Source organism: Homo sapiens, chromosome 22 (assembly GCF_000001405.40).
Source record: "Homo sapiens chromosome 22, GRCh38.p14 Primary Assembly".
NCBI classification, from domain to species: Eukaryota; Metazoa; Chordata; class Mammalia; order Primates; family Hominidae; genus Homo; species Homo sapiens.
The window spans coordinates 37,558,108-37,580,880 of NC_000022.11; the positions used below are offsets into that span (position 1 = coordinate 37,558,108).

The window sequence follows — 22,773 nt, forward strand, 5'->3', positions numbered from 1 at the left end:
TCGCCCAGGCTGGAGTGCAGTAGCACGATCTCAGCTCACTGTAACCTCCGTCTCCCAGATTCAAGCAATTCTCCTGCCTCTGCCTCCTGAATAGCTGGGATTACAGGCGCCCACCACTATGCCCGGCTAATTTTTGGTATTTTTAGTAGAGACAGGATTTCACCATGTTGGCCAAGCTGGTCACGAACTCCTGACCTCAAGTGATCTGCTCGCCTCGGCCTCCCAAAGTGCTGGGATTACAAGTGTGAGCCACCGCGCCCGGCACTTTTTTATTTTTATTTTTTAAGATGGAGTCTCGCTCTGTTGACCAGGCTGGAGTGCCGTGGTGCGATCTCAGCTCACTGCAACCTCCGCTTCCCAGGTTCAAGCAATTCTCCCTGCCTCAGCCTCCCGAGTAGCTGGGATTACAGGCACCCGCCACCACGCCTGGCTAATTTTTGTATTTTTAGTTGAGACGGAGTTTTACCATATTGGTCAGGCTGGTCTCAAACTCCCAGCCTCAAGTAATCTGCCCACCTCAGCCTCCCAAAGTGCTGGGATTACAGGCGTGAGCAACCACGCCGGGCAACAGTCAGTCTTCTAAATGTACACCTGCCAGTGCTGCCTGCTGGCTCACTGTCCTGATGCTGTTCCAGTTCTCCATGGGACAAAATACTCCTGGGCCGGCCCCCAGGGAAAGAGTTCCTACTGCTGTGCCACTTGAGCAAATGCTAGAATGCTTTGTGCCTCTGTTTCCTCATTTGTCCAGCTGCAGAAATAGCTCCTTCCCTTGGTGGCCAGCATGGGGATTCAGGGAGCCAGTGGAAGAGGCCTAGCCCCTGGGTGAACAGTAAAGACCTTGTCTCCTCCACCTGCGGGTAAATACAGCTCCTCATCCCCGGCCACAACAGCGCTCAGCCAGTCTCCTTCAGCCGGGTTTGCCTCCGCTGCAGGGTCCTCCACTCCCAGCCTTTGCTGTGCTGTCCCTTGCCAGCTGTGCACTGTGCATTTCCACTGCCCTTCCCTCTGCCTACACGTCCTTTAAGACTTAACTCACAACCATGCAGTGGCTCACACCCATAATCCTAGCACTTGAGGAGGCCAAGGCAGGCGGATCACCTGAGGTAAGGAGTTCAAGACCAGCCTGGCCAACATGGTGAAGCCCCCTCTCTACTAAAAAATACAAAAATTAGCCGGGCGTGGGTGGGTGCCTGTAATCCCAGCTAGTCCGGAGGCTTAGGAGGGAGAATCGCTTGAACCCGGGAGGTGGAAGCTGCAGTGAGCTGAGATCATGCCATGGCACTCCAGCCTGAGCAACAGAGAGAGACTCCGTCTCAAAAAAAAAAAAAAAAAAAAAAAAAAAAAAAAAAAAAAAAAAAAGAGAGAGAGAGAGACTTAACTCAGGTATCATCTCCTCTAGGAAGATTTCCTGAGCCCCCAGGCCCTGCAGGAAGTATTAGGGACCTCTCTGTGCCCTGACAGCCCGAGGACTCTATAGTCAGATGGGAGTAGTCAAAGGAGGGCACAACAACGGGAGGCAGGGGCCAGAGATCTATCTCCCCTCCTTGAGGATGGCACAGGGTCCCGGGTATGGCTGATTCCCTGCCCTCCATGGAGGTGGGCGGGGTGGGGGGAGGGTCTGTAAAGTCTCTGAGATGCGACTTCATTTACCTGCCGAGCAAGCCTCCTAGGTGCTCTTGGAGCAGGAAACACTTCACACAACATCTGATGCTGCTATTATCTATCCCACTTTCAGATCAGGAAACTGAGGCAGAGAAAGGTAAGTAGTGACTGAGGCAGGACAGGAGCCCAGGCTGTCCGGCTCCAGGGTCCCGGTCTTGACGGCCACTCTACCCCACTCTACCAGTCGCCCCAGTATGGCTGTCTTCCTCCTGGGCACCGCGGGGCCTGTACCGGATGGAAGGGAATGAGAATGGGGAGCAAAGGAGTGGGCATGTCATGCCTGTAAACATCAAGGTTTAAAGGCCCAGGCATTCAAGGCCTCAGATCGAGCTTCCCGGTTCCCCGAACTCCCGCAGGGCGCGGCTGGAGGGCCCAGGAGGGAGGAGAGTTCATCAGGCCTGGACGCCCCAAGCAAGGCCACGAGGGGAACCGGTGGAAGAGGGGTTGGCGGCCGGGGACCGGAGTCGCCTCCCCGGGGCAGCCCGCACGTTCCCCGGCTGGCCTTGTCCGGGGTGGCGAGCAGAGGCCTGGCCTGGCCCCCCAGCCGCGTCCCTGCCAGCTCTCGGCGGCCGCGAGGACGGTGCCGGGGAGGGGGCCGGGGAGGGGGCCGGGCCCCGCCCGCGGGCGGGAGGAGACGGGCGGGAGGCGGGAGCGCCCACACCCCGCCCCCGCCCCCGGATCCAGCCCGCGGAGCCCGCGGCCAGGGCGGCGCAGACCGGCCCAGCGACTCTCCCGGGCTGCCAGCCGGGACGCGCGGCCGCCGCCGCTGCAGACGACGAGTCCGCCCTCGTCCCGCGCCCCCGGGGCTCGCGGAGCCAGGTAACAGCCCGGGCGCGCGGGTCCTCGGGGCGGAGGCCGTGGAGGCCGGCGGGTCCCGGCGCCCGCGGGGACTCTGCACCCTACTAGGCTCCCGGGGCCGGAACGGGGACGGGACCCGCCCGGGAGAGGCGCCCCCGGGTGCCCACAGGAAGGCCGGGCGCGGCCGCGGAGCCGCGCGAGGAAACTCCGAGCTTTCGGGCTTCGTGTCCCGTTCCAGGCTGGTGGAGGGGGCAGAGGATCGGACACGGCTGAGCGGCCAAAATGCGCGAGGAGGGGGCGAGCCGAGGGGCAGAGCGGGGGCTGTCTCCGCGCCTTCCTGCGCGGGGGAAGGAAGGGCCGGGGCGGGCAGCGGGCGACGCGGCGGAATGTCTCCCCTCCGCCGAGGCCCACGCGGAGAGCGGGAAGTGGGGGGTGGGGGGCCCGGGGAGATGGACAGGCACCCTGCCCCCCTCCCCGACCGCCGCATTCCAGGCTGGAGCCGCGGATGAGGTCATCCCGTCCGGTTCCCCTCCGGCCAAGACAGCCGGTCGTCCCCTTCCCCCGCGGAGCGACCCTCCGCGTCCTGAGCCCCGTCCCCCCAGGGAATGTTGGATGGCCGAAGTCTTTCCCGGACTTCCAATCCCGGCCGCCCTCCAGATTGTTCTGCCTTTGCCCCAGCAGTGCCAGACCCGCAACATTCGAAGCCCTTTTCCTAGACCGGGAAACTGAGGCTTAGAGAGTAGGGGGGACTGGCCGGGAGGCCGCAGCGGCACTAAACGTGGCGCGGGGACCCGAGACGCGGCCCGCAGCCGCTCCGTCTCGCTCGGTCCCGGGCTGGTTCGGCTCTAACTCGGGGCGGTGGGCACGAAGCGCGTCTCCTTTCCACTTTCCCCGTCGCTCCCTAATGGCCCACGGTGCCCCCCTTGGAATACGGAGGACCGGGTCCCCTAGCGCGACTGCGAACAACTAGCTACCCCGTTCTGGCCTCAGTTTCCCCGTCTCTCCACCTTGAAGCGTCTGGACTTTGAGGAGCAGGAGAAGTCAGCCGACCGGTTTAACCCCTTATTCCAGGGACCAGAGCAGGTTTGGGGGAGCTGCCGTAACCATGACAGGGACCCGCTGTCCAGCGGTGGGGGGGGGCGTCACCCAGCTGGATGCCCGCAGGAAGTGGGCTGTGTGCACCCGAGCAGTGGCCTCCAGGATGAGACGTGGGCCCCTGGCCAGCACTGCGGCCTGCGGGTGACCCCCAGGTGAATGCCAGGGTGCAGCCGCCCCCGCTCTCCTTCAGACCCGCCCTTGGCCTCCCCGCGACCACATGTGCCTCCACAGCGACCCCTGTTGGCCCGATCCCGGCTCCAAAACTTGTTCTTGCGTCATTCCCACCATTGAGTGAGCTCAGGCCATGTGCCCAGGCCCTGACTATCCTCTATAGGGTAAATATAAGGACTCCAAGGACACTGAGGCTGTGTGGTGACCTCCTTGCCCAGGTCACAGGCAGTGAATCTGCAGAGCTGGGTCTCCTGTCTTCCCAGGCCTGCACCTGCACCCCACACCGGGCTCAGCACTGGGCATCCAAGCCCTCCAAATCGTCTTCCCCATTCCCCATCGTCTTCACCCCCACCCTGGGGCATTTACCAGCAATGTTGGTCTGTGACTGAGGGTAAATGTCTCCTTTCTGAGCTTCGTTTTTTCCATCTGTGAAAGGGGTGTTCTGAACACTAACGGGCGGTGTTCCTGAGCAGGTGAGGGGAGGTGAGCCTGGCACCAGGACACTTGGAGCCCTGCTTACTCCAGTGCCAGGTGAGGCACACCTGATGGCCAGCAGTGCCCTGTGGTTGGCAGCAAGTGCCACGTGGCTGCCACCGGGGTCCCTGGAATGAGAGATGTTAGTGTAAAGGTGTCAGATTTGAACCCATGGCTGCCCTGCTCCAGTATCTGAGGGTTTCATTACATTTTCTACCCTTGCAACTCCCCTGGGAGGGGAACTGCCTGGTGTGCTGTTCCGTTTTCCACATGGGAAGACCGGGTCCCAATACCCTGCCCTCAGCTCCACAGCGCTGCAGAGTCTCTCGACCGCAGTAGGCAGGGTAGTGTGAGGGGTGGGTACTATTGGGGGGGTGCCCAGAAACATTTGAAAGATGGGATCATCGCAAGATTGGGGAGGAAGCTGGTCCCCCAAGTCAAAAGTGACCATGGGGGTTCAGGGGGGAGGAGCCCCTTTTGCTGGGAGATGAGGTGCTGCCTCAAGAAGTCAGGGAGGCCAGGTGTGGTGGTTCACACTTGTAATCCCAGCACTTTGGGAGGCTGAGGCAGCAGGATGGCTTGAGTTCAGGAATTTGAGACCAACCTGGGCAATGGAGTGAGACCCTGTCCTTACAAAAAGTGGAAAAACTTAGCTGAGCATGGTGGTATGTGCCTGTAGTCCCAGCTACTCAGGAGGCTGAGGTGGGAGGATCGCTTGAGCCTGGGAGTTCGAGGCTGCAGTTAGCTGTGATGGAGCCACTGCACTCAGCCTGGGTGACAGAGTGAGACCCTGCCTCAAAAAAGAAAAAAAAAAAAGTCAGGGAGCTGGGGTGGGAGCAAGTGGGTAAGGCCACATGGCAGACCCTTCTACAGGACATTGTACAGAGGAACACCCTTCCCGCTCCCATTCCTTCCCCCAGAGATGCATCCTTAATCCCTGCTGAGCAGGGAAACTTGGCCCTGCCATGAACCTGTCACTTAACCTTGGACAGGTCTCCCTTCCCTCCGAACCTCAGTGCTGCCTGTCAAATAGGCCACGCTGCGGCTTTGCAGGGTTGTTGGAGAATCAGATGACATCATGTAATGGTTGGCCAACTGTGGATCGCTTCAGAACTTCAGCAAACATTCCACGAGGACTTCTCGGTGCCGGGGGTGCCAGGGAGGGAAGAAGATGATTCAGAAGTTCCCCCCCACGAGGGGGAGGAGTTAGGGTTGGGGGAGGATCAGATGGTGGGAAGGGAAGAGAATGTAGTCAGAAAACAAAGCAAGCTTTGTCCTATTGGCTTCTTTGTTCTTATCTTGTTATTTAACCTATTTTGAATTTCAAATAACATTAGAAGGGCAGTATTGAGATTTCTATGCTTGGAGGTGGCAGCAATGGTTTTAAAAAAGGAAGAAGGCTGAGCCGCAGACATAGGTGTTCTTAAGGATCATTATTGACTTTTATCAGCTGAGGTCCCAGGTCTGTGTAGGTAAGTGACTTGCCCAAGGTCACATTGTGAGGACACAGAGCCCAGCCTGCCCTCCCACTCTCAGAAGGGGCCAGGGTGATGTTTTGGCATGCAGGTTATCATGGAGATCTGTGATTCAGCTGGCATTGATTTGGCACTTGTTAAGTGCAGAGCCCAAGCTAGATGCCCAAGGGAGAAAGGCAGGAAAATCCAGGCGGCCTCCCCACCCTCCAAGTGCATTGCCGATCTCGGGAGGCGAGACTGGGCTCCACAAGCCAGTCAAGGGCTTATGTGAGTCAGAGGCTCTGAGTTCAAGTCTCAACTAGCTCTGTGGATCTGACCTCTAGCCAGCTTTGCCCTCAGTGGGCCACAGGAAAAGCATAGGATCACAGGTGCGCTCTAGCCTGGACTTTGTATGACACTAGAAGGAAAGGGGTCAGAACAAGAGATGCTTAGAGAAGCTGGAGCAGGGGAGGATGTGTGTGTGTGTATGGTGGGGGTGGGGAATCAGGAAGGAGAGATGCACAAGAAATAGCTTTTGGCACCAGCTGAGCTTTTTCCAAAGCTTGCTCCCTGACAGCAAGGCTCCTACGTCAGTTTGACAAACTGTGATAAAGTCTTTTCCTGCGGGCCTTCTCAGAGACTTGAATATGCTCACGCATGGAGGAGGCAGCTGGAAAAAGCCACTTTTGACCACAGGATCCTTATTCCAGGAAGCTCCTTGAAGGTGGATGGTTCAGAGGAACCTCTGCTCTGGCTGTTTACCCAGCTTCACAAAGCTTTGGTGAGGTGTCTGCTCCCTCCTGGCTTCGCTGCGTGGCAGAGATTTTAATGCACAGAGAAGGGAGGTGACTTACTCAGTTACTCAGCAGGAGGCAGTGTAGCCTGGGGCTCCAGGGCTCTGGGATGTGGGGCCTGTTTCACCATTTCTTACTACGTAGCCTCAGGCAAGTTACGTCACTTTGTGCCTCAGTTTCCCCTCTCTAATCTCATGCTGCCCTCAGGAGTAATGTTTTTGTTGTTGTTGTTGTTTGTGAGACGGAGTCTCGCTCTGTCGCACAGGCTGGAGTGCAGTGGCGCAATCTCGGCTCACTGCAACCTCTGCCTCCCGGGTTCAAGCAATTCTCCTGCCTCAGGCTCCTGAGTAGCTGGGATTACAGGCGCCCGCCACTACGCCCAGCTAATTTTTTGTATTTCTGGTAGAGACGGGGTTTCACCATGTTGGCCAGGCTGGTCTCTAATTCCTGACCTCGTGATCCACCCGCCTTGGCCTCCCAAAGTGCTGGGAATACAGGCGTGAGCCACCGCGCCCAGCCCCTCAGGAGTATTGTATGGGTTTAAACGATGAGGCGGGTGAGGTCTTGGCACTTAGTAAGTGCTTCATAAGTGGGCCCTGCAGAATAAGTGCTTTCTTTTTTTTTTCCTTTTTTTTTTTTTTTTTTTTGAGACAAGGTCTTGCTCTGTCTCCCAGACTGGAGTGCAGTGACACAATCATGGCTCATTGCAGCCTTGACCTCCTAGGCTCAAAGGATCCTCCCTTCTTAGCCTCCTGAGTAGCTAGGACCACAGGCATACACCACCACACCCAACTAATTTTTTTAAAATTTTTTTGTAAAAACCAGGTCTCATTATGTTGCTCAGACTTAGAATGAGTGAATGAGTGCTTCTATTTTTTCCTGATACATGGCTTAAGTGTATAGCTCAATGAATTATTTGTCCCCTATTCAGTCAGTACCTGCTCAGAGGCTGCCATCATTCTGATTGCTAATAGCATCAATTGGTTTTGCCTGTTACTGAACTTCCTTGTTTTTTTTTTTTTTTTTTTTTTTTTTTTTGAGACGGAATGTTGCTCTTGTTGCCGAGGCTGGAGTGCCGTGATGTGATCTTGGCTCACTGCAACCTCTGCCTCCAAGGTTCAAGTGATTCTCCTGCCACAGCTTCCTGGGTAGCTGGGATTACAGGTGCGCACCACCACGTCCGGCTAAGTTTTGTATTTTTAGTAGAGACGGGGTTTCTCTATGTTGGCCAGGCTGGTCTCGAACTCCTGACCTCAGGTGAGCCACCCACCTCAACCTCCCGAAGTGCTGGGATTACCAGCATGAGCCACCGCACCCGGCTGTGTTCTTGAACTTTCTATACACAGACTCACTTGGGTCCCCGTGTGCCTAGCTTCTGCCCCGCGTCAGTTGGAGGCCTCCATCCGTGTAGTTGGGTGTGATCATCTATCCTCTTCAGCTGCTAATGTTTGGACCCCGGATTTCCTCCTCTGTCGCGGGCCTGCCGTCACCGCCCATTCTGTCTTCCTTCCAGGTCTCCACCTCTGGGCAGGAGAGTTGCCGACCACCTCGGGGGTGCTTTCTCTGCGCTTGAACATCTATAGCTGCTTCTGAGGGGCTGGGAGCCGGGCCCCTGGGAGAGACGAGCCATGAACCCCCCACAGCCTCTGCATTTGGGGACCTCACCTTAGGAGAGTGCCATTTACAGCTTCCGCCAGGGCAAAGGAGCTGAGCAGCCATCCCAAGCCCAGCCCACCTCCCTCCCCCGGCCCCTGGTAGGCATGGACTAGCAGCTGTGAGCAGCCAGAGCTGATGCCCGGCCCCCAGGGGGGCAGAGGCGCCGCCACCATGAGCCTGGGCAAGCTCTCGCCTGTGGGCTGGGTGTCCAGTTCACAGGGAAAGAGGCGGCTGACTGCAGACATGATCAGCCACCCACTCGGGGACTTCCGCCACACCATGCATGTGGGCCGTGGCGGGGATGTCTTCGGGGACACGTCCTTCCTCAGCAACCACGGTGGCAGCTCCGGGAGCACCCATCGCTCACCCCGCAGCTTCCTGGCCAAGAAGCTGCAGCTGGTGCGGAGGGTGGGGGCGCCCCCCCGGAGGATGGCATCTCCCCCTGCACCCTCCCCGGCTCCACCGGCCATCTCCCCCATCATCAAGAACGCCATCTCCCTGCCCCAGCTCAACCAGGCCGCCTACGACAGCCTCGTGGTTGGCAAGCTCAGCTTCGACAGCAGCCCCACCAGCTCCACGGACGGCCACTCCAGCTACGGTGAGGGCCTGGGCCATCTTGGCCCACTTTTCAGAGGCTGAGGCTGAGGCCCAGAGGGGTTCAGTGGCTCCTCCAAGCTCCAAGTGAGCTCCAAGTGACCACAGAGGTCAGGCCCAGACCCCACATCATGGATGGGGAGGGGGTGCAGTGGTGGGAACAAGCTGACTCCCCAAAACACCTGAGGTTGAGAGTGAGGAGGTGGAGTTTGAATTCTAGCTGCCCCTCACTTGCTGTGTGACCTGGGCAAGCACATCCCCCTCTCTGGGCCTTAGCTGAACCAGTCACCCACCCATTCTTGCCCCCTTCAACCAAAGCCTTCCCCTCATGTCGGAATGATATCATGGAGAGGTGAAGGGCCTGGGCTCTAGATTCCAATCCAGTTCTGCCTGAATTTCAGGAAGTCAGTTGACCTCTATAAGTTCAAGTCCTCGCCTGGATAATGAGTCTCTCGGGGTCATTGCTAAGATTCAGTGCCAGGAGAGGCGCAGGGGGGCTGATACTTAGTAGGTGCTCAGGACACTGGAGCTGTTGTTATCTGAACTTGGTTTCCTGTAACTCGACAAATTTGGGAAACCACTCACAGGAACCGCAAGCCACAGGCCTTCCTGCCCAGCCAGAAGTGCCACCTTGGCCGTTCGGTCAGAGCTCACCTGAGAACCATGGGCCCCTGCTGCCACCTGGTGGCCACTCCCTGCCTTGCGGGAGTGGCTCTAACACCCCTGCCCCAGGCGGCTGCTCAGAACCGCACTGAGGACTGGTCCACAGAAACCCGATTCTGTCTCAGGTCTGTAGTCCTGGAAGCAGGGGCTGGACATGTCTGTCCTTCATTTCTATACAGTCAGACCCTGATTGCTGGTCCCATCCTGTGTCCACAAACCAGCTCACGTGCTATGGGTTCACCTGCAGCCATCGGCCAGCGTCATGGCAGGGAGCCGGTGGCCATGGCTGAGGTCACAGTTGGGACTGAGAGGAGATTTGAGCTCCAGACTTGATTCCACCTCGTCAGACTTCTATGGCCTTGGGCTAGCTCCTTCGCCCCATCCCAAACTGAGCCTCACTTTCCCCATCTGCATAATGGAAATGAGGATAATGATGATTTTCAGCTTTCGGGGTAGACAGGAAGATCACACAGGTGACCATGGAGTGTATTCTATTGGAAAGATGGGAGAAACCGAGGCCAGAGAGGGGAGGGACTAGCCAGAGGCCACACAGCAAGCCAGGACTGGTCCTGTCTCCCCTCCTGAATTCCTGGTGAGGGACCCCAGCTCTGAGCCCACTGCCCATTTCTCTTCTAGGCCTGGACTCTGGGTTCTGCACCATCTCCCGCCTGCCCCGCTCGGAAAAGCCGCATGACCGAGACCGGGATGGTTCCTTCCCCTCTGAGCCCGGGCTTCGCCGCTCTGACTCTCTCTTGTCCTTCCGCCTGGACCTCGACCTTGGGCCCTCACTCCTCAGCGAGCTGCTAGGGGTCATGAGCCTCCCAGAAGCCCCTGCAGCTGAGACTCCAGCCCCCGCTGCAAACCCCCCAGCCCCTACTGCAAACCCCACGGGTCCTGCTGCAAACCCCCCAGCCACTACTGCAAACCCCCCAGCGCCTGCTGCAAACCCCTCAGCACCTGCCGCAACCCCCACGGGTCCTGCTGCAAATCCCCCAGCCCCTGCCGCAAGCTCCACACCCCATGGACACTGTCCCAATGGGGTAACAGCTGGGTTGGGCCCAGTGGCTGAGGTGAAGTCCAGCCCAGTGGGAGGGGGTCCCCGAGGACCTGCTGGCCCTGCCCTCGGCAGGCACTGGGGAGCAGGCTGGGATGGCGGCCACCACTACCCAGAGATGGATGCGCGGCAGGAGCGGGTGGAGGTGCTGCCCCAAGCCCGGGCCTCCTGGGAGAGCCTGGACGAAGAGTGGAGGGCGCCCCAGGCAGGCAGCAGGACCCCAGTGCCCAGCACAGTGCAAGCAAACACCTTTGAATTTGCGGATGCTGAGGAGGATGATGAGGTCAAGGTGTGAGGGGCTGGGGCACGGTCCCAGGGCCCCACCTAGGTGCAGAGCCGGCCCCTCACCTAACAGCTGGTTCCTACCAGACCGGAGAGGGGAGAAGTCATGTTGCCCCTAAACCCCTCCCCACCTCTGCAGGACAGACATGGGAGGGAGGACAGGGAAGGCCAGGCTTGCTCTGGGACTTTTATGCTCCCAGAGGCCCTGCCAAACTGACCACCTCCCCCGACTGCCACTCTGGACCTAATAGCTGTTCCTTAGGCCCCACTCCATGCCACCCCCACCAGCTGGAGGACCCAGCCTCACAGTGTGTCCTTTGTGCCAGACCAAGCGGCCCGTGGGGGGTGGGGGGCAGGGAGTGTACCACACAGGGCCATTGTCTCACCTCCCAAAGGGACCGCCTGCCCCCAGCTCATCCCAGAGCGTCCCTGCTGCAACCCTGACAGCCGTCTCCCAGGCCGCTTCCCCAACATCCCCGCCCCAGCCTCCCTCTTACCCCAGAAAGGTCAGGTATGACCTCCCGGGGAGGAATCCCACCTGCCTGTATACCCCAGACTTGCCTCTGGGGCCTGATTAAATAAGGCTGTTTTGATAAAAGGTGTCCTGCAAGATGCTTGGGGACCTGGGACAACAGCATCAGCTCTGTCTGCTTCAGTCCCCTCCCCTCCAGGGAGTTTAGAAAGCCAAGGATCCCCCATCAAGGCCCCCAGCAGGGAAGGGAAGTGGACGCGCCAAGGGGAGGGTAATGAGTAACCAGGCTGGAACGCCCCTGAGATAAGAGGCCCAGGTGGGAGCCCTTATCTGCAGTTCCGGGAACAGCCCCTGGCCCAGGTGCCTGGGACTCGTGTCTGCCCCATAATCCCACAGGGCAGCATGGCATTTGCTCTGGCGATAGTGGGGGCAAGTAGACAGAAGCAAGTGCGTAGGACTGTTGGGAGCATGTCTCAGCCTCCCAACATGGCAGCCGGGTGTCCTCATATCTGTTTCCTCCTCAGTATTATGAAAATGCCAGGAGCATTAAAATGCACGGAAAGAGAAATGCCCTCCTTAGGTATCGGAAGACCGGTTAAATTTAGCCACAAACAGCTAACGTGAGGTGGTGCACTCCCTGTCACTACAGGTATGCAACCAGAGGATGTGTGGCAGGAGGCAGGATCACTACGGGACCTCAGGATCCCTGAGAGCAGGACATTCTGGATCATGGGGTGCCTTCATTCAGAGGTCCTCAGACCAGGGGTATCCCATGTTTTTGTAAACTTGAGGGACCCAAGAGAGAAAGGAGTCACAAGCCACAGTTCTTGCCACAGGAAGACTCGATAAAAACAGATTATTTTGTTTGCTTTTAGCCCTGGGGCAGGAACTGCAGGTAGGGATAGGGGAACACACCCAAGCTCTGTTGATCCTGGTGTGACTCGGAAGAAGAACCAGGACAGAGAATCTCGGCTGGAAGTCTTTTATTCTTTTAACTTGAAAGAGGACATGTTGAACCCGCCCCTTACGCTCAGGTAGCTCAGGTGGCTGTGACCCAGCCTGTTGGGAAAAGTCAGCTCGTGCCCATCTGGCAGCTTCACCTTGAATTTGTCACTCTCAAAGGTCACTGTGAACTGTGGGGAGGGAGGGTGTCAAGGAGGCAGGAGGCCCTGGAAATGGGCCAGGGCAGTGCCTGATGGCTCAAACAAGGCCAGCACCTGTGTCCAGGCCAGGCTCTCTTCCATCTGGGCCCTCCCCTTGACATCACCCCAGTGCCCTTTCCCCCTTTGACCTCACCTTGACCTCTGACCCTGGGCTGAAGCACAGGTGATCTTCCCGTTGTTCTTGCCCCCAGTTGCTGCCGTCCAATGAGTTGCAGACAATGGTGGATTCGCTGAAGCGAGGGTTGAAATGCAGGTTCAGCTTGTCTGTCCCCTGGCCCAGATTAATTACAAAGCTGCAGGAGAAGGGGTAGCAGGTGAGGTTCAGGGCTCAGGCCTGGATAAAGCAGCTTGGGTTGGAGGACCTTGGTTGACCACAAGCTGGAAGAATCAAAGCTTGTGTTAGTTGAGATCTGTGCCTTAAAACAAGGGAGGTAACAACCTGCTCAGACTTAGCACTGTGGTAGCACATTCCATTTGGAGCAGGGATCACGCTGTTGAGAGAAGGGTAACTGATAGTGACAGCTTCGGGAATTGGGGGTGGCTCTCCTGGGAGAGAGAAATGCTATCTCTTAGATATCTGAAGACCTATTAAATTTAGCCACCAGCAGCCAACCTAAGGTGGTGAGCTCCCTGTCACTATGGGTGTGCAACCGGGGTTGTATGACTTCTTGGCAAGATCACTACAGGAGCCTGGGCTAGACCTGCAGGGTTCCTGAAAGTGGGGCATTCTGGGTCATGGGGTGTCTTCATTTGGGAGTCTCAGACCAAGGGTATCACACATTTTGACAAACTTGAGGGACCCAAGTAGGAGAAATAAGTCACTTTTCCCTTAGCTCCTATGGCATGCACCTGCCCGCCCCCTCTCTAACCAAAAGTAGATAAAGCACAGTTCCAAGATGCGCTGACATGTTCTGCAGGCGAGAGAGCCTTTCGCTGGACTGTGACTCACGGAGGTGGTGAGGCCGCTGGTTCTAACCAAGAGGATGCCAGCGAGACCACTCAGCCTCCCCTGGTGGCTGCCCTGGTTTAATGCTCATGAAATGCCAGCCTGTGGCCATTCTGCTGGGTAAAGAGGGTGGTGTCTCTGGGGATTTGGGCGTTCCCTAGAGGCACCTGCCCCGCAGGGGGCCAGACAGAGTTCCAGGGGCTTCTCCACCTGCCCCTTCAATGGCTGTTGGGGCAAAAGAATAGAGCATATGGCATCAACTCTGAAATTCTGCAGGTCCCCAAACCTAGCCTCAGACATGAAGTGGGGGCCAGCAGGGGTGTGGGGAGAAGGGTGTGAAAAAGGGCCCATTGGCCTGACGTCCCTCTTGCCTGAGCACTTCACAGGGCTGCCCTGCCTGCCCCACCCGCCCTGCCTATTCCGGGCCTGCAGACTCCCCCAACCCTGAAACCTTGCTCACCCATCAGTGCCATCGGCGATGCTGCCTGTGATCTTCAGGGTTGACCCCGGCTTCATGTCCATGTTCTTAACCTCAAGTTCCCCCTGGGCCAACAGAGAAACATTCCACTCGAGTCCCCACAGAAAATCAATCCCACACTTGCCCAGCAGCTTCATCCACCTCATGCCAACCCAGCTGCAGGTCTCAATCCCCCTGCCCACGTGAGGACGCAGGAGACCACCAAGCTGGAAAGTGGCAGAGCCAGAGCGCTCTGATCAAGGCCTCCCAGAGCTTCCCCACTCCCTGCCCTGTTTTGCTCTTATCCACCCCAACCCGAAGAGGCACAGGACGGAGGCTCAGTTTGCCCATCTATGAAATGGGCAGAGTGCTTCCTGCCCAGTTCCGCAAAGTGTTCAAGTGATGAAATCACGCTGCCCTCAGCAGAACCCCAGAAACAAAAATATGATATGGAAAATGACTGTATCAGAGGCACAAGATCTTGGCCCACCCAAAACTAAATCTGGCCAGGTGCAGGGGCTCACGCCTGTAATCCCAGCATTTTGGGAGGCCGAGGCGGGCTGATCACCTGAGGTCAGGAGTTAGCAACCAGCCTGGGCAACATGGTGAAACCTCGTCTCTACTAAAAATAAAAAAATTGGCCGGACGCGGTGGCTCACACCTGTAATCCCAACACTTTTGGGAGGCCGAGGCGGGCGGATCACGAGGTCAGGAGATCGAGACCATCCTGGCTAACATGGTGAAACCCCATCTCTACTAAAAATACAAAAAGTTAGCCGGGTGTGGTGGCAGGTGCCTGTAGTCCCAGCTACTCGGGAGGCTGAGGCAGGAGAATGGTGTGAACCCGGGAGGCGGAGCTTGCAGTGAGGTGAGATCGCGTCACTGCCCTCCAGCCTGGGCGACAGAGCGAAACTCCATCTCAAAAATAATAATAATAATAATAATAATAATAATAAATAAAATAAAATAAAATAAATTATCTGCGCATGGTGGCGGGCGCCTGTAATCCCAGCTACTTGGGAGGCTGAGGCGGGAGAATTGCTTGAATTCTGGAAGCGGAGGTTGCCATGAGCTGAGATCGTACCATTGCACTCCAGCCTGGGCGACAAGAGTGACTTTTCATCTCAAAGAAAAACAAAAAAAAAAGGCCGGGCACAGTGGCTCACACCTGTAATCCCAGCACTTTGGAAGGCCGAGGCAGCCAGATCACCTGAGGTCAGGAGTTTAAGACCAGTCTGCCTAACATTTAACCCTGTCTCTACTAAAAATGCAAAAATTAGCCAGGTGTGGTGGCACGCATCTATAGTCCCAGCTACTTGGGAGGCTGAGGCAGGAGAACGGCTTAAGCCTGGGAGGCAGAGGTTGCAGTAAGACAAGATCACGCCACTGCACTCCAGCCTAGGCAACAGAGCAAGACTCTGTCTCAAAAACAAAAACAAACAAACGAACAAAAACTAAGAATCTATAAAACTCCGCAAGTCCTATGTCCATCAAAGTCTCTCTCCAAGCCTCACTTTCCCCTTCTGTAAAATTGACTAATTTGATTTATTCATTTAAAAAACAGTTGATAGCCTGGGTGTGGAAGTGTGTACCTGTATTCCAGCTACTCAGGATGCTGAGACAGGAGGGTCACTTGAGCCCAGGAGTTGGAGACCAGCCTGGGCAACATAGCGAGACTCCCATTTCTATTTTTGTTGTTGTTGTTGCTGAATGCCAGCTGTATGACAGACCCTGTCACACCAGGGAGACACCACCAACCTTCAAGCTGGTTTTGAGAGGATTCAAGAACATGTTTGTGAAATCCCATGCACAGGGCCTCACGTAGACCAACAGCAAATCACAGGACCACCATCATTTATTGTTTTACTTTCCTTTTCTTTTTTTGTTTTTTTTTTTGTTTTTTTGAGCAGAGTCTTGCTTTGTCGCCCAGGCTGGAGTGCAACGGTGCGATCTCGACTCACTGCAACCTCCACCTCTCAGGTTCAAGCGATTCTCCTGCCTCAGCCTCCCGAGTAGCTGGGACTACAGGCATGTACCACCATGCCTAATTTTTGCATTTTTAGTAGAGACAAGGTTTCACCATGTTGGTGTGGCTGGTCTCAAACTCCTGGCCTCAATTGATCTGCCCACCTCAGCTCCCCAAAGTGCTGGGATTACAGGCGTGAACCAAGCCCAGCCTTAATTTTCTTTTTTAAATTTTTTCTTTTTTTCTGGACAGTGGTCTGCCCAAATGACCATCATTTTGATTACTTGTTGTTAAGATTCATCTGCTCCTTATTTTCCATAGGAAAGCAGCACCTGAATTTCTGTACAGTAGGAGCCTCCTCTAGCCTCACGATGGTTACTAGGGAAGATTTCTAAGCTGGGTTTTCAAAGCTCATTACCCAGGGCTGGGAGCGGTGGCTCACGCCTGTAATCCCAGCACTTTGGGAGGCTGAGTCGGGTGGATCACCTGAGGTCAGGAGTTTGAGACTGGCCTGGCCAACATGGAGAAACCCTGTCTCTATTAAAAATACAAAAATTAGCCGGGTGTGGTGGCACATGCCTGTCGTCCCAGCTACTTGGGAGGCTGAGGCAAGAGAATCGCTTGAACCCAGGAGGTGGAGGTTGCAGTGAGCCGAGATTGTGCCAGGCGACAGAGCAAGACTCTGTCTAAAAAAAAAAAAAAAAAAAAACTCATTACCCAAGACCAGTTTTCGCATCTATGACCAGAGGGTGAGGGTTGGTCTGACCAGGACGCAACAGGCACCAAAGATTTAGAACAACTTATGGGAGGACACTTTTACATTGTGGGAGTTCTGCTCACTGACTTTTTATTTCCAGAAAAAGCATGATCTGAGATGCCCTGAATGAGCTCATTGGACTGGGGCACTTTGCCAGAAGTCAAGGGGGCAGTGGCCATGGGAGGACCCTCAGTGCCCTCTCGCTGGCAGCCGCCTCCTCTCTGCAGAGGAGGAAGTGACCCGCTGGTTGGTCACATGTAGGGGTAGGTTGTTAGGTATTGCTCAACTCTTCCACAGGCAGTAAGTTCTTTTTTTTTTTTTTTTGAGATGTTGAGATGGAGTCTCACTCTGTCACCCATGCTGGAGTGCAGTGGTGCAATCTTGGCTCACTGCAACCTCCACTTCCCAGATTCAAGCAATTATCCTGCCTCAGCCTCCCGAGTCACTGAGATTACAGGCTCCCACCACCATATCTAGCTAATTTTCTTTGTATTTTTAGTAGAGACGGGGTTTCACCACTTTGGCCAGGTTGGTCTCGAACTCCTGACCTCAAGTGATCCTCCCCTCTGGGCCTCCCAAAGTTCTGGGATTATAGGGGTGAGATACCACACCCAGCATTTTTTTTCTTTTCTTTCTTTTTTTTTTTTTTTTGAGACAGGGTCTTGCTCTGTCACCCAAGATGGAGTGCAGTAGCACGATTATAACTCACTGCATGCAGCCTCATAGCCTCCTGAGCTCAAACGATTCTCCTGCCTCAGCCTCCTAAGTAGCTACGACTATAGACGTGTGCCACCATGCCCAGCTAATTTTTAAAATTTTTGTAGAGATAGGGTTTTGCTATGTTACCCAGGCTGCTCTGGAACTCCTGACCCTCAAGTGGTCCTCCTGCCTCAGCCGGTAATACATTTTTTTTTAAAGGTCTTGCTCTGTCACCCAGGCTAGAGTGCAGTGATATGATCAGAGCTCACTACAGCCTTGACCTCTTGGGCTCAAGCAATCCTCCCACCTCAGCCCCCCAGGTAGCCTGGACCACAGGCATCCCACCTGGCCCAGCTGATTTTTTTTTTTTTCAGATGGGGTCTCACTATGTTGTCCAGGCCAGCCTCGACCTCCTGAGCTCAAAGGATCCTCCCACCTCGGCCTCCCAAAGTGTTGGGATTACAGGTGTAAGCCACTGTGCCCGGCCTGGCAGTACATTTTATAAGAGACGCCTGGAGGAGGCAGCAATGCTTAACCCAGGACAGCGGGCCATGACGGCGGCATGTCAGACAGGAGGCTGCTCAGACCAGAGCTTCTCAGCCTTGGCCGTCTGGACGTTTGGGGCAGGCATTTCTTTGTTGGGGTCTGTCTCTTGTGTTGTAGGATGTTGAGCAGTATTCCTGGCCTCTACCCACTGGATGTCAGTGACACCCTCCCCTGAGCGGTGACAACCAAGAATGTCTCCAGACAGGGTCCGTTGTCTCCTGGGAGCAAAACCTCCCTGCTTTAGAGAAAGTGGGGTTTGGAGGCTGGACACCTAACTCCCCATGTCTTTGCTTAACACAACGGGGTTGGGTCCAGATTTTGGAGCCAGACAGACGGGATTAAAATCAGTCTCTTGCTGGCCAGGGGCGGTGGCTCACACCTGTAATCCCAGCACTTTGGGAGGCCGAGGGGGGCGGATCACGAGGTCAGGAGAGTGAGATCATCCTGGCTAACACGGTGAAACCCTGTCTCTACTAAAAATACAAAAAATTAGCCGGGCGTGGTGGCAGGCGCCTGTAGTCCCAGCTACTCGGGAGGCTGAGGCAGGAGAATGGCGTGAACCCGGGAGGCGGTGCTTGCAGTGAGCCAAGATGGCGCCACTGCACTCCAGCCTGGGCGACAGAGCGAGACTCCGTCTCAAAAAAAAAAAAAAAAAAAAAAAAATCAGTCTCTCACTGACAAAGACCATTATCTCTGGGAGATGAGGTTATCCAGTGAGGACAGTCCAAAAGGGGCTCAAACAAGAAACAGAAGACAGGTGTGCCCGCCACACAGACACTCACAGACGTGTGCCCTGCGCACACACACGTCTAACACCAAGCATCAGGAGATGGCTCCCTGCCTCCTGCCAGCAGCCTGTGCCCACACCCCGAGCCCTGCAACAGTCAGGCCAGGATAGGGGAGCTGGGCCTGGACTAAGAGAAGCACCCACACTCCCCTTGCAGCTCCTGGGGGCTGCCTGACTGAAACAGCAAAGCTCAAACCCCAAGGATAGAGGTGGGGGCTGCTGCAGGGCAGAAGCACTCGGAAGTCCAGGGTCAGGGGTGCACTTGGACAAATAGGGATGCTGAGAGCTGCGGGAGGGTGCAGGCCCGGGAGCCTTGTCCCCACCCAACAGAGTCAAAGGCGCAGAGAGAGACAGGCAGAACTGGGTGGGGGTGTGGTCGTCCCTAGAGCTGGGGGGGTGGGGAGTTGGGGGCCCAGACTCTAGTGCCGACTCTGCCCCTAATTGGCAGAGGGGCCTGGGGCCAGCTTAGCCCCTTTCTGGGCCTTGGTTCCCTTATCTGTCGTATAAGGGATTTGGATGATATGGCCTCTGGAGCTGGAGAGAGAGGAAAGAAAAGGCAGAGGTGAGATGACCAGGAAAGAGAAGGTGGGGAGAGTCCGTGGGCCACAGCAGTCCTCCCCGAGAGGCAGAGGGTGATGAGGGCATAGACCCTTCCACGCAGGACCCCTGGCACATTCACATCCTGCATCCCCCCTGCACTTGAATAGCGTCCCCCGAAAATTCATGTCCACCTGGAACCTGTCAATGTGACCTTTTTTTTTTTTTTTGAGATGAAGTCTCACTCTGTCACCTAGGCTGGAGTACAGTGGCTCGATCTCGGCTCACTGCAACCTCTGCCTCCCGGGTTCAACCGATTCTCCTGCCTCAGCCTCCCAAGTAGCTGGGATTACGGGTGCCCACCACAACATCTGTCTAATTTTTTTTTCTTCTTCTTCTTCTTTTTTGTTTTTGTATTTTCAGTACAGACAGGGTTTCACCATGTTGGCCAGGCTGGTCTTGAACTCCTGATCTCAAGTGATCCGCCTGCCTCGGCCTCCCAAAGTGCTGGGATTACAGGGGTGAGCCACCCCGCCCAGCCTCAATGTGACCTATTTAAAAATAGTTCCTTTGCATATGTAATCGAGTTAAGAGGTCATACTGGTTTAGGGTTGGTCCTAAATCCAATACGACCAGTGTTCTCATAAGAGGAGAGAAATATAGACACAGAGACGGAGACACACAGAGGAGTCCACGTGAAGTTGGAGGCAGAGATTGGAGTGATGCAAGCCAAGGAATGCGAGGAGCCACCAGAAGCTGGAAGAGGCAAGAAAGAACCCTCCCCTTGCGCCTTCAGCAGGAGCGTAGCCCTGTAGCACCTTGGTTTCAGGTTTCTAGTCACCAAAACCAAGACAGAACAAACGTCTATCGTGTGAAGCCACCCACAATTTGGTGGTAATTTGTTATTGCAGCCCTAGGCAATGAATACACCATCTAATCCTCAGAAGAGGCAGCCTGTGATCCCCTTCCACAGATGTAAGGAAGACTGGGGCTCAGAGACGGTCAGTGACTTGGCCAAGGCCACACAGTAAAGCTGTGGCAGAGTCTGGTGTAGAATCAACGAATCAGAGACCTCAGTGGGAATCCACTCAACCCCTTGTGATTTGCAGCTTGTGGCCTTGGGCAATTTGCTCTCCAAGACTTGGGTTTTGTGTGTGGGTATATGAGACAAGGTCTCACTCTGTTGCCCAGGCTGGAGTACAGTAGTGCAATTACGGCTCACTGTAGCCTCGACCTCCTGGGCTCAAGTGATCCTCAGCCTCCCAAGGCTGAGGAGTGTGCCGCTACCCCCACTAATTTTTTAAGGCAAAGCGTAGTGGCATGCACCTGTAGCAGAAAAGGTCTCACTATATTGCCCAAGCTGAGATTTTTTTTTATCTCTATAAAGATCAATGGAGGCCAGGCACAGTGGCTCACACCTGTAATCTCAGCACTTCGAGAGGCCAAGGCAGGAGGATCCCTTGAACCCAGGAGTTTGATATCAGCCTGAGCAACATAGTGAGACCTCATCTCTACGAAAAATAAGAAATAAGCTGGGTGGGGTGGCTCACACCTGTAATCCCAGCACTTTGGGAGGCCAAGGTGGGCGGATCACCTGAGGTCAGGAGTTCGAGATCAGCCTGACCAACATGGTGAAACCCTGTCTCTACTTTAAAAATACAAAAATTAGGCCAGGAGCAGTGGCTCACACCTGTAATCCCAGCACTTTGGGAGGCCAAGGCAGGTGGATCACCTGAGATCAGGAGTTCAAGACCAGCCTGACCAACATGGAGAAACCCCATCTCTACTAAAAATACAAAATTAATCGGGTGTGGTGGCCCATGCCTGTAATCCCTGCTACTCAGGAGGCTGAGGCAGGAGAATCGCTTGAACCTGGGAGGTGGAAGTTGTGGTGAGCCGAGATCGTGCCATTGCACTCCAGCCTGGGCAACAGAAACTCCATCTCAACAAAAAAAAAAAAATTAGCCAGGTGTGGTGACACATACCTGTAATCCCAGCTACTTGGGAGGCTGAGACCAGAGAATTGCTTGAACCCAGGCAGCAGAGGTTGCAGTGAGCTGAGATCGGGCCACTGCACTCCAGCCTGGGCAACAGAGCGAGACTCCATCTCAAAAAAAAAAAAAAAAAGAGAAAGAAAAGAAACAAACAAAATTAGCCAGTGTGGTAGTGAGTGCCTGGGGTCCCAGCTACTCAAGAGGCTGAGGTGGGAGGATCATTTAAGCCAAGGAGGTCAAGTCCGTAGTGAGTTATGATTGCCACCACTGCACTCCACCTGGTGACAGAGCAAGATGCTGTATTGTTGTTGTTGTTTTGAGATGGAGTCTCACTCTTGTTGCCCAGGCTGGAGTGCAATGGCACAATCTCGGCTCACCATAACCTCTGCCTCCCAGGTCCAAGTGATTCTCCTGCCTCAGCCTCCCCATTAGCTGGGATTACAGGCATGTGCCACCAGGCCTAGCCAATTTTGTATTTTTTTAGTAGAGACGGGGTTTCTCCATGTTGGTCAGGCTGGTCTCAAACTCCCAACCTCAGATGATCCACCAGCCTCGGCCTCCCAAAGTGCTGGGATTACAAGCAGGAGCCACCACGCCTGGCCCAAGATGCTGTTTTTTAAAAAAAGACCTCTGTCCAACTTCTTTGCTGCACAGATGGGGAAACTGAGGCCCAGAGAGGGACAGCAATGGTTTTCCCTAAAAGCCCCCACCCAGGCAAAGACAAAGATGAACAGAGTGGGGCAGGCAGCAGGGGGCTAGTGTCCTCACCGTCATGGTGACAGCTCCTGGCGGCAGCTCCCAGCGGCTCCTGGAGGCCTGTGCTCAGGGTCTCAACTCGTGGTCAAGCTTATATCCTAGAATATTACACATTAACTCCCTCAAGGTCCTAGGTGAGGACTTTGCCCCTTCTACCTTGTGTCTCCCCGCCTGCATCTCCCAGTACCCAGCACAAACAGGCAGAAGACTCCTCAGCCAGCTCCACCCCACCCAGCCCGGAGCATCCTCCTGGCCTCCCTCCAGCCCAGCCTCCCCCTCCTCAGCGCTCCCAGAGCCCGAGAGGGGAAGCAGCCCCAGCTCTGCCCCCACACAAACCGCAATGCAGCCGCTTGACAGCTCTCCCAGCCTCCCTCACTTAGCCCAGCTTCCTTGCCTGTAAAAAGAGAGATTTGCTTTGCAAAAAAAAAAAAAAGTCTAGGTTTCTAATTTTCTTTTTTTTTTTTTTTTGAGACAGAGTCTCACTCTGTCACCCAGGCTGGAGTGCAGTGGCAACGATCTCCGCTCAATGCAATCTCCTGGGTTCACACCATTCTGCTGCCTCAGCCTCCCGAGTAGCTGGAACTACAGGCACCCGCCACCATGCCCGGCTAATTTTTTGGTATTTTTAGTAGAGACGAGGTTTCACCGTATTAGCCAGGATGGTCTCGATCTCCTGACCTCGTGATCTGCCCACCTTGGCCTCCCAAAGTGCTGGGATTACAGGCGTGAGCCATTGCGCCTGGCCTAAGGTTCTAATTTTCTATGATGTTATGATTCATTGTCAGAGAGCATTATGTTTTCTTCTTCCCTCCCCATATTATTTATCTGATCGGACATGTAGGTTTCAAAACCAATACACGGATTCAAAGAAAAGATTTCAAACTATTTACAACAAATGGTCAAAAGCAGAGGAGAGCTGGGCGCGGTTGCTTAAGCCTGTAATCCCAGCACTTTGGGAGGCCAAGGCAGGCGGATCACCTGAAGTCAGGAGTT

At 55.3% G+C, this 22,773-nt stretch overlaps 2 protein-coding genes across 2 annotated transcripts, besides 14 other annotated features; one reads left to right on the forward strand and one right to left on the reverse strand.

The window, feature by feature from the left end:
• The first annotated feature begins 2,372 nt into the window (after window positions 1-2,372).
• Window positions 2,373-11,298, forward strand: CDC42EP1 (CDC42 effector protein 1). Its single transcript, NM_152243.3, has 3 exons — window positions 2,373-2,481; window positions 7,965-8,705; window positions 10,001-11,298. The coding sequence occupies exons 2-3, from the start codon at window positions 8,243-8,245 to the stop codon at window positions 10,711-10,713; spliced, it is 1,176 nt and encodes a 391-aa protein (NP_689449.1). The 5' UTR covers window positions 2,373-2,481; window positions 7,965-8,242; the 3' UTR covers window positions 10,714-11,298.
• Window positions 3,009-3,615: an enhancer, noted in NCBI's record as "H3K27ac-H3K4me1 hESC enhancer chr22:37957123-37957729 (GRCh37/hg19 assembly coordinates)". NCBI's record gives its function as "activates a minimal SCP1, AML or CMV promoter by ChIP-STARR-seq in naive and primed H9 embryonic stem cells {active_cell/tissue: H9 hESC(naive and primed)}" and the evidence as "EXISTENCE:reporter gene assay evidence [ECO:0000049][PMID:30033119]".
• Window positions 3,616-4,223: an enhancer, noted in NCBI's record as "H3K27ac-H3K4me1 hESC enhancer chr22:37957730-37958337 (GRCh37/hg19 assembly coordinates)". NCBI's record gives its function as "activates a minimal SCP1, AML or CMV promoter by ChIP-STARR-seq in naive H9 embryonic stem cells {active_cell/tissue: H9 hESC(naive)}" and the evidence as "EXISTENCE:reporter gene assay evidence [ECO:0000049][PMID:30033119]".
• Window positions 3,692-3,921: an enhancer, noted in NCBI's record as "active region_18976". NCBI's record gives its function as "activates an Ori minimal core promoter by ATAC-STARR-seq in GM12878 lymphoblastoid cells {active_cell/tissue: GM12878}" and the evidence as "EXISTENCE:reporter gene assay evidence [ECO:0000049][PMID:35858748]".
• Window positions 4,224-4,830: an enhancer, noted in NCBI's record as "H3K27ac-H3K4me1 hESC enhancer chr22:37958338-37958944 (GRCh37/hg19 assembly coordinates)". NCBI's record gives its function as "activates a minimal SCP1, AML or CMV promoter by ChIP-STARR-seq in primed H9 embryonic stem cells {active_cell/tissue: H9 hESC(primed)}" and the evidence as "EXISTENCE:reporter gene assay evidence [ECO:0000049][PMID:30033119]".
• Window positions 5,358-5,858: an enhancer, noted in NCBI's record as "H3K4me1 hESC enhancer chr22:37959472-37959972 (GRCh37/hg19 assembly coordinates)". NCBI's record gives its function as "activates a minimal SCP1, AML or CMV promoter by ChIP-STARR-seq in naive and primed H9 embryonic stem cells {active_cell/tissue: H9 hESC(naive and primed)}" and the evidence as "EXISTENCE:reporter gene assay evidence [ECO:0000049][PMID:30033119]".
• Window positions 5,859-6,359: an enhancer, noted in NCBI's record as "H3K4me1 hESC enhancer chr22:37959973-37960473 (GRCh37/hg19 assembly coordinates)". NCBI's record gives its function as "activates a minimal SCP1, AML or CMV promoter by ChIP-STARR-seq in naive and primed H9 embryonic stem cells {active_cell/tissue: H9 hESC(naive and primed)}" and the evidence as "EXISTENCE:reporter gene assay evidence [ECO:0000049][PMID:30033119]".
• Window positions 9,717-10,368: an enhancer, noted in NCBI's record as "H3K27ac-H3K4me1 hESC enhancer chr22:37963831-37964482 (GRCh37/hg19 assembly coordinates)". NCBI's record gives its function as "activates a minimal SCP1, AML or CMV promoter by ChIP-STARR-seq in primed H9 embryonic stem cells {active_cell/tissue: H9 hESC(primed)}" and the evidence as "EXISTENCE:reporter gene assay evidence [ECO:0000049][PMID:30033119]".
• Window positions 11,335-11,629: an enhancer, noted in NCBI's record as "tiled region #9066; HepG2 Activating DNase unmatched - State 1:Tss, and K562 Activating DNase unmatched - State 14:Gen5'". NCBI's record gives its function as "activates a minimal TATA promoter and a strong SV40 promoter by Sharpr-MPRA in HepG2 and K562 cells {active_cell/tissue: HepG2 | K562}" and the evidence as "EXISTENCE:reporter gene assay evidence [ECO:0000049][PMID:27701403]".
• Window positions 11,377-11,521: an enhancer, noted in NCBI's record as "145 bp enhancer 93 fragment used in the MPRA reporter construct; PK_construct_476". NCBI's record gives its function as "activates an SV40 promoter by MPRA in HepG2 and K562 cells {active_cell/tissue: HepG2 | K562}" and the evidence as "EXISTENCE:reporter gene assay evidence [ECO:0000049][PMID:23512712]".
• Window positions 11,443-11,456: a transcriptional cis regulatory region, noted in NCBI's record as "HNF1 motif; MPRA enhancer 93 activity is reduced when this motif is scrambled; it is unclear which activator is functional in K562 cells". NCBI's record gives its function as "necessary for full MPRA enhancer 93 activity {active_cell/tissue: HepG2 | K562}" and the evidence as "EXISTENCE:site-directed mutagenesis evidence [ECO:0005528][PMID:23512712]".
• Window positions 11,858-12,366: an enhancer, noted in NCBI's record as "H3K4me1 hESC enhancer chr22:37965972-37966480 (GRCh37/hg19 assembly coordinates)". NCBI's record gives its function as "activates a minimal SCP1, AML or CMV promoter by ChIP-STARR-seq in naive H9 embryonic stem cells {active_cell/tissue: H9 hESC(naive)}" and the evidence as "EXISTENCE:reporter gene assay evidence [ECO:0000049][PMID:30033119]".
• Window positions 12,141-21,980, reverse strand: LGALS2 (galectin 2). Its single transcript, NM_006498.3, has 4 exons — window positions 21,793-21,980; window positions 13,742-13,824; window positions 12,469-12,628; window positions 12,141-12,305 (listed from the first exon to the last, which is right to left on the reverse strand). The coding sequence occupies exons 1-4, from the start codon at window positions 21,796-21,798 to the stop codon at window positions 12,156-12,158; spliced, it is 399 nt and encodes a 132-aa protein (NP_006489.1). The 5' UTR covers window positions 21,799-21,980; the 3' UTR covers window positions 12,141-12,155.
• Window positions 13,006-13,506: an enhancer, noted in NCBI's record as "H3K4me1 hESC enhancer chr22:37967120-37967620 (GRCh37/hg19 assembly coordinates)". NCBI's record gives its function as "activates a minimal SCP1, AML or CMV promoter by ChIP-STARR-seq in naive H9 embryonic stem cells {active_cell/tissue: H9 hESC(naive)}" and the evidence as "EXISTENCE:reporter gene assay evidence [ECO:0000049][PMID:30033119]".
• Window positions 13,507-14,007: an enhancer, noted in NCBI's record as "H3K4me1 hESC enhancer chr22:37967621-37968121 (GRCh37/hg19 assembly coordinates)". NCBI's record gives its function as "activates a minimal SCP1, AML or CMV promoter by ChIP-STARR-seq in naive H9 embryonic stem cells {active_cell/tissue: H9 hESC(naive)}" and the evidence as "EXISTENCE:reporter gene assay evidence [ECO:0000049][PMID:30033119]".
• Window positions 22,307-22,366: a silencer, noted in NCBI's record as "silent region_13687". NCBI's record gives its function as "represses an Ori minimal core promoter by ATAC-STARR-seq in GM12878 lymphoblastoid cells {active_cell/tissue: GM12878}" and the evidence as "EXISTENCE:reporter gene assay evidence [ECO:0000049][PMID:35858748]".

What these genes read in the sequence shown, in the direction of transcription:
- CDC42EP1 (NM_152243.3), top strand. Translation starts at nt 8,243, where the DNA reads ATGCCCGGCCCCCAGGGGGGCAGAGGCGCCGCCACCATGAGCCTGGGC. An exon ending in GGACGGCCACTCCAGCTACG is followed by an intron (nt 8,706 to 10,000) that starts GTGAGGGCCTGG and finishes TTTCTCTTCTAG; the next exon opens with GCCTGGACTCTGGGTTCTGC.
- LGALS2 (NM_006498.3), bottom strand. An exon ending in ATCGCCGATGGCACTGATGG is followed by an intron (nt 12,629 to 13,741) that starts GTGAGCAAGGTT and finishes CTTCTCCTGCAG; the next exon opens with CTTTGTAATTAATCTGGGCC. An exon ending in GCCCAGGGTCAGAGGTCAAG is followed by an intron (nt 12,306 to 12,468) that starts GTGAGGTCAAAG and finishes CCCTCCCCACAG; the next exon opens with TTCACAGTGACCTTTGAGAG.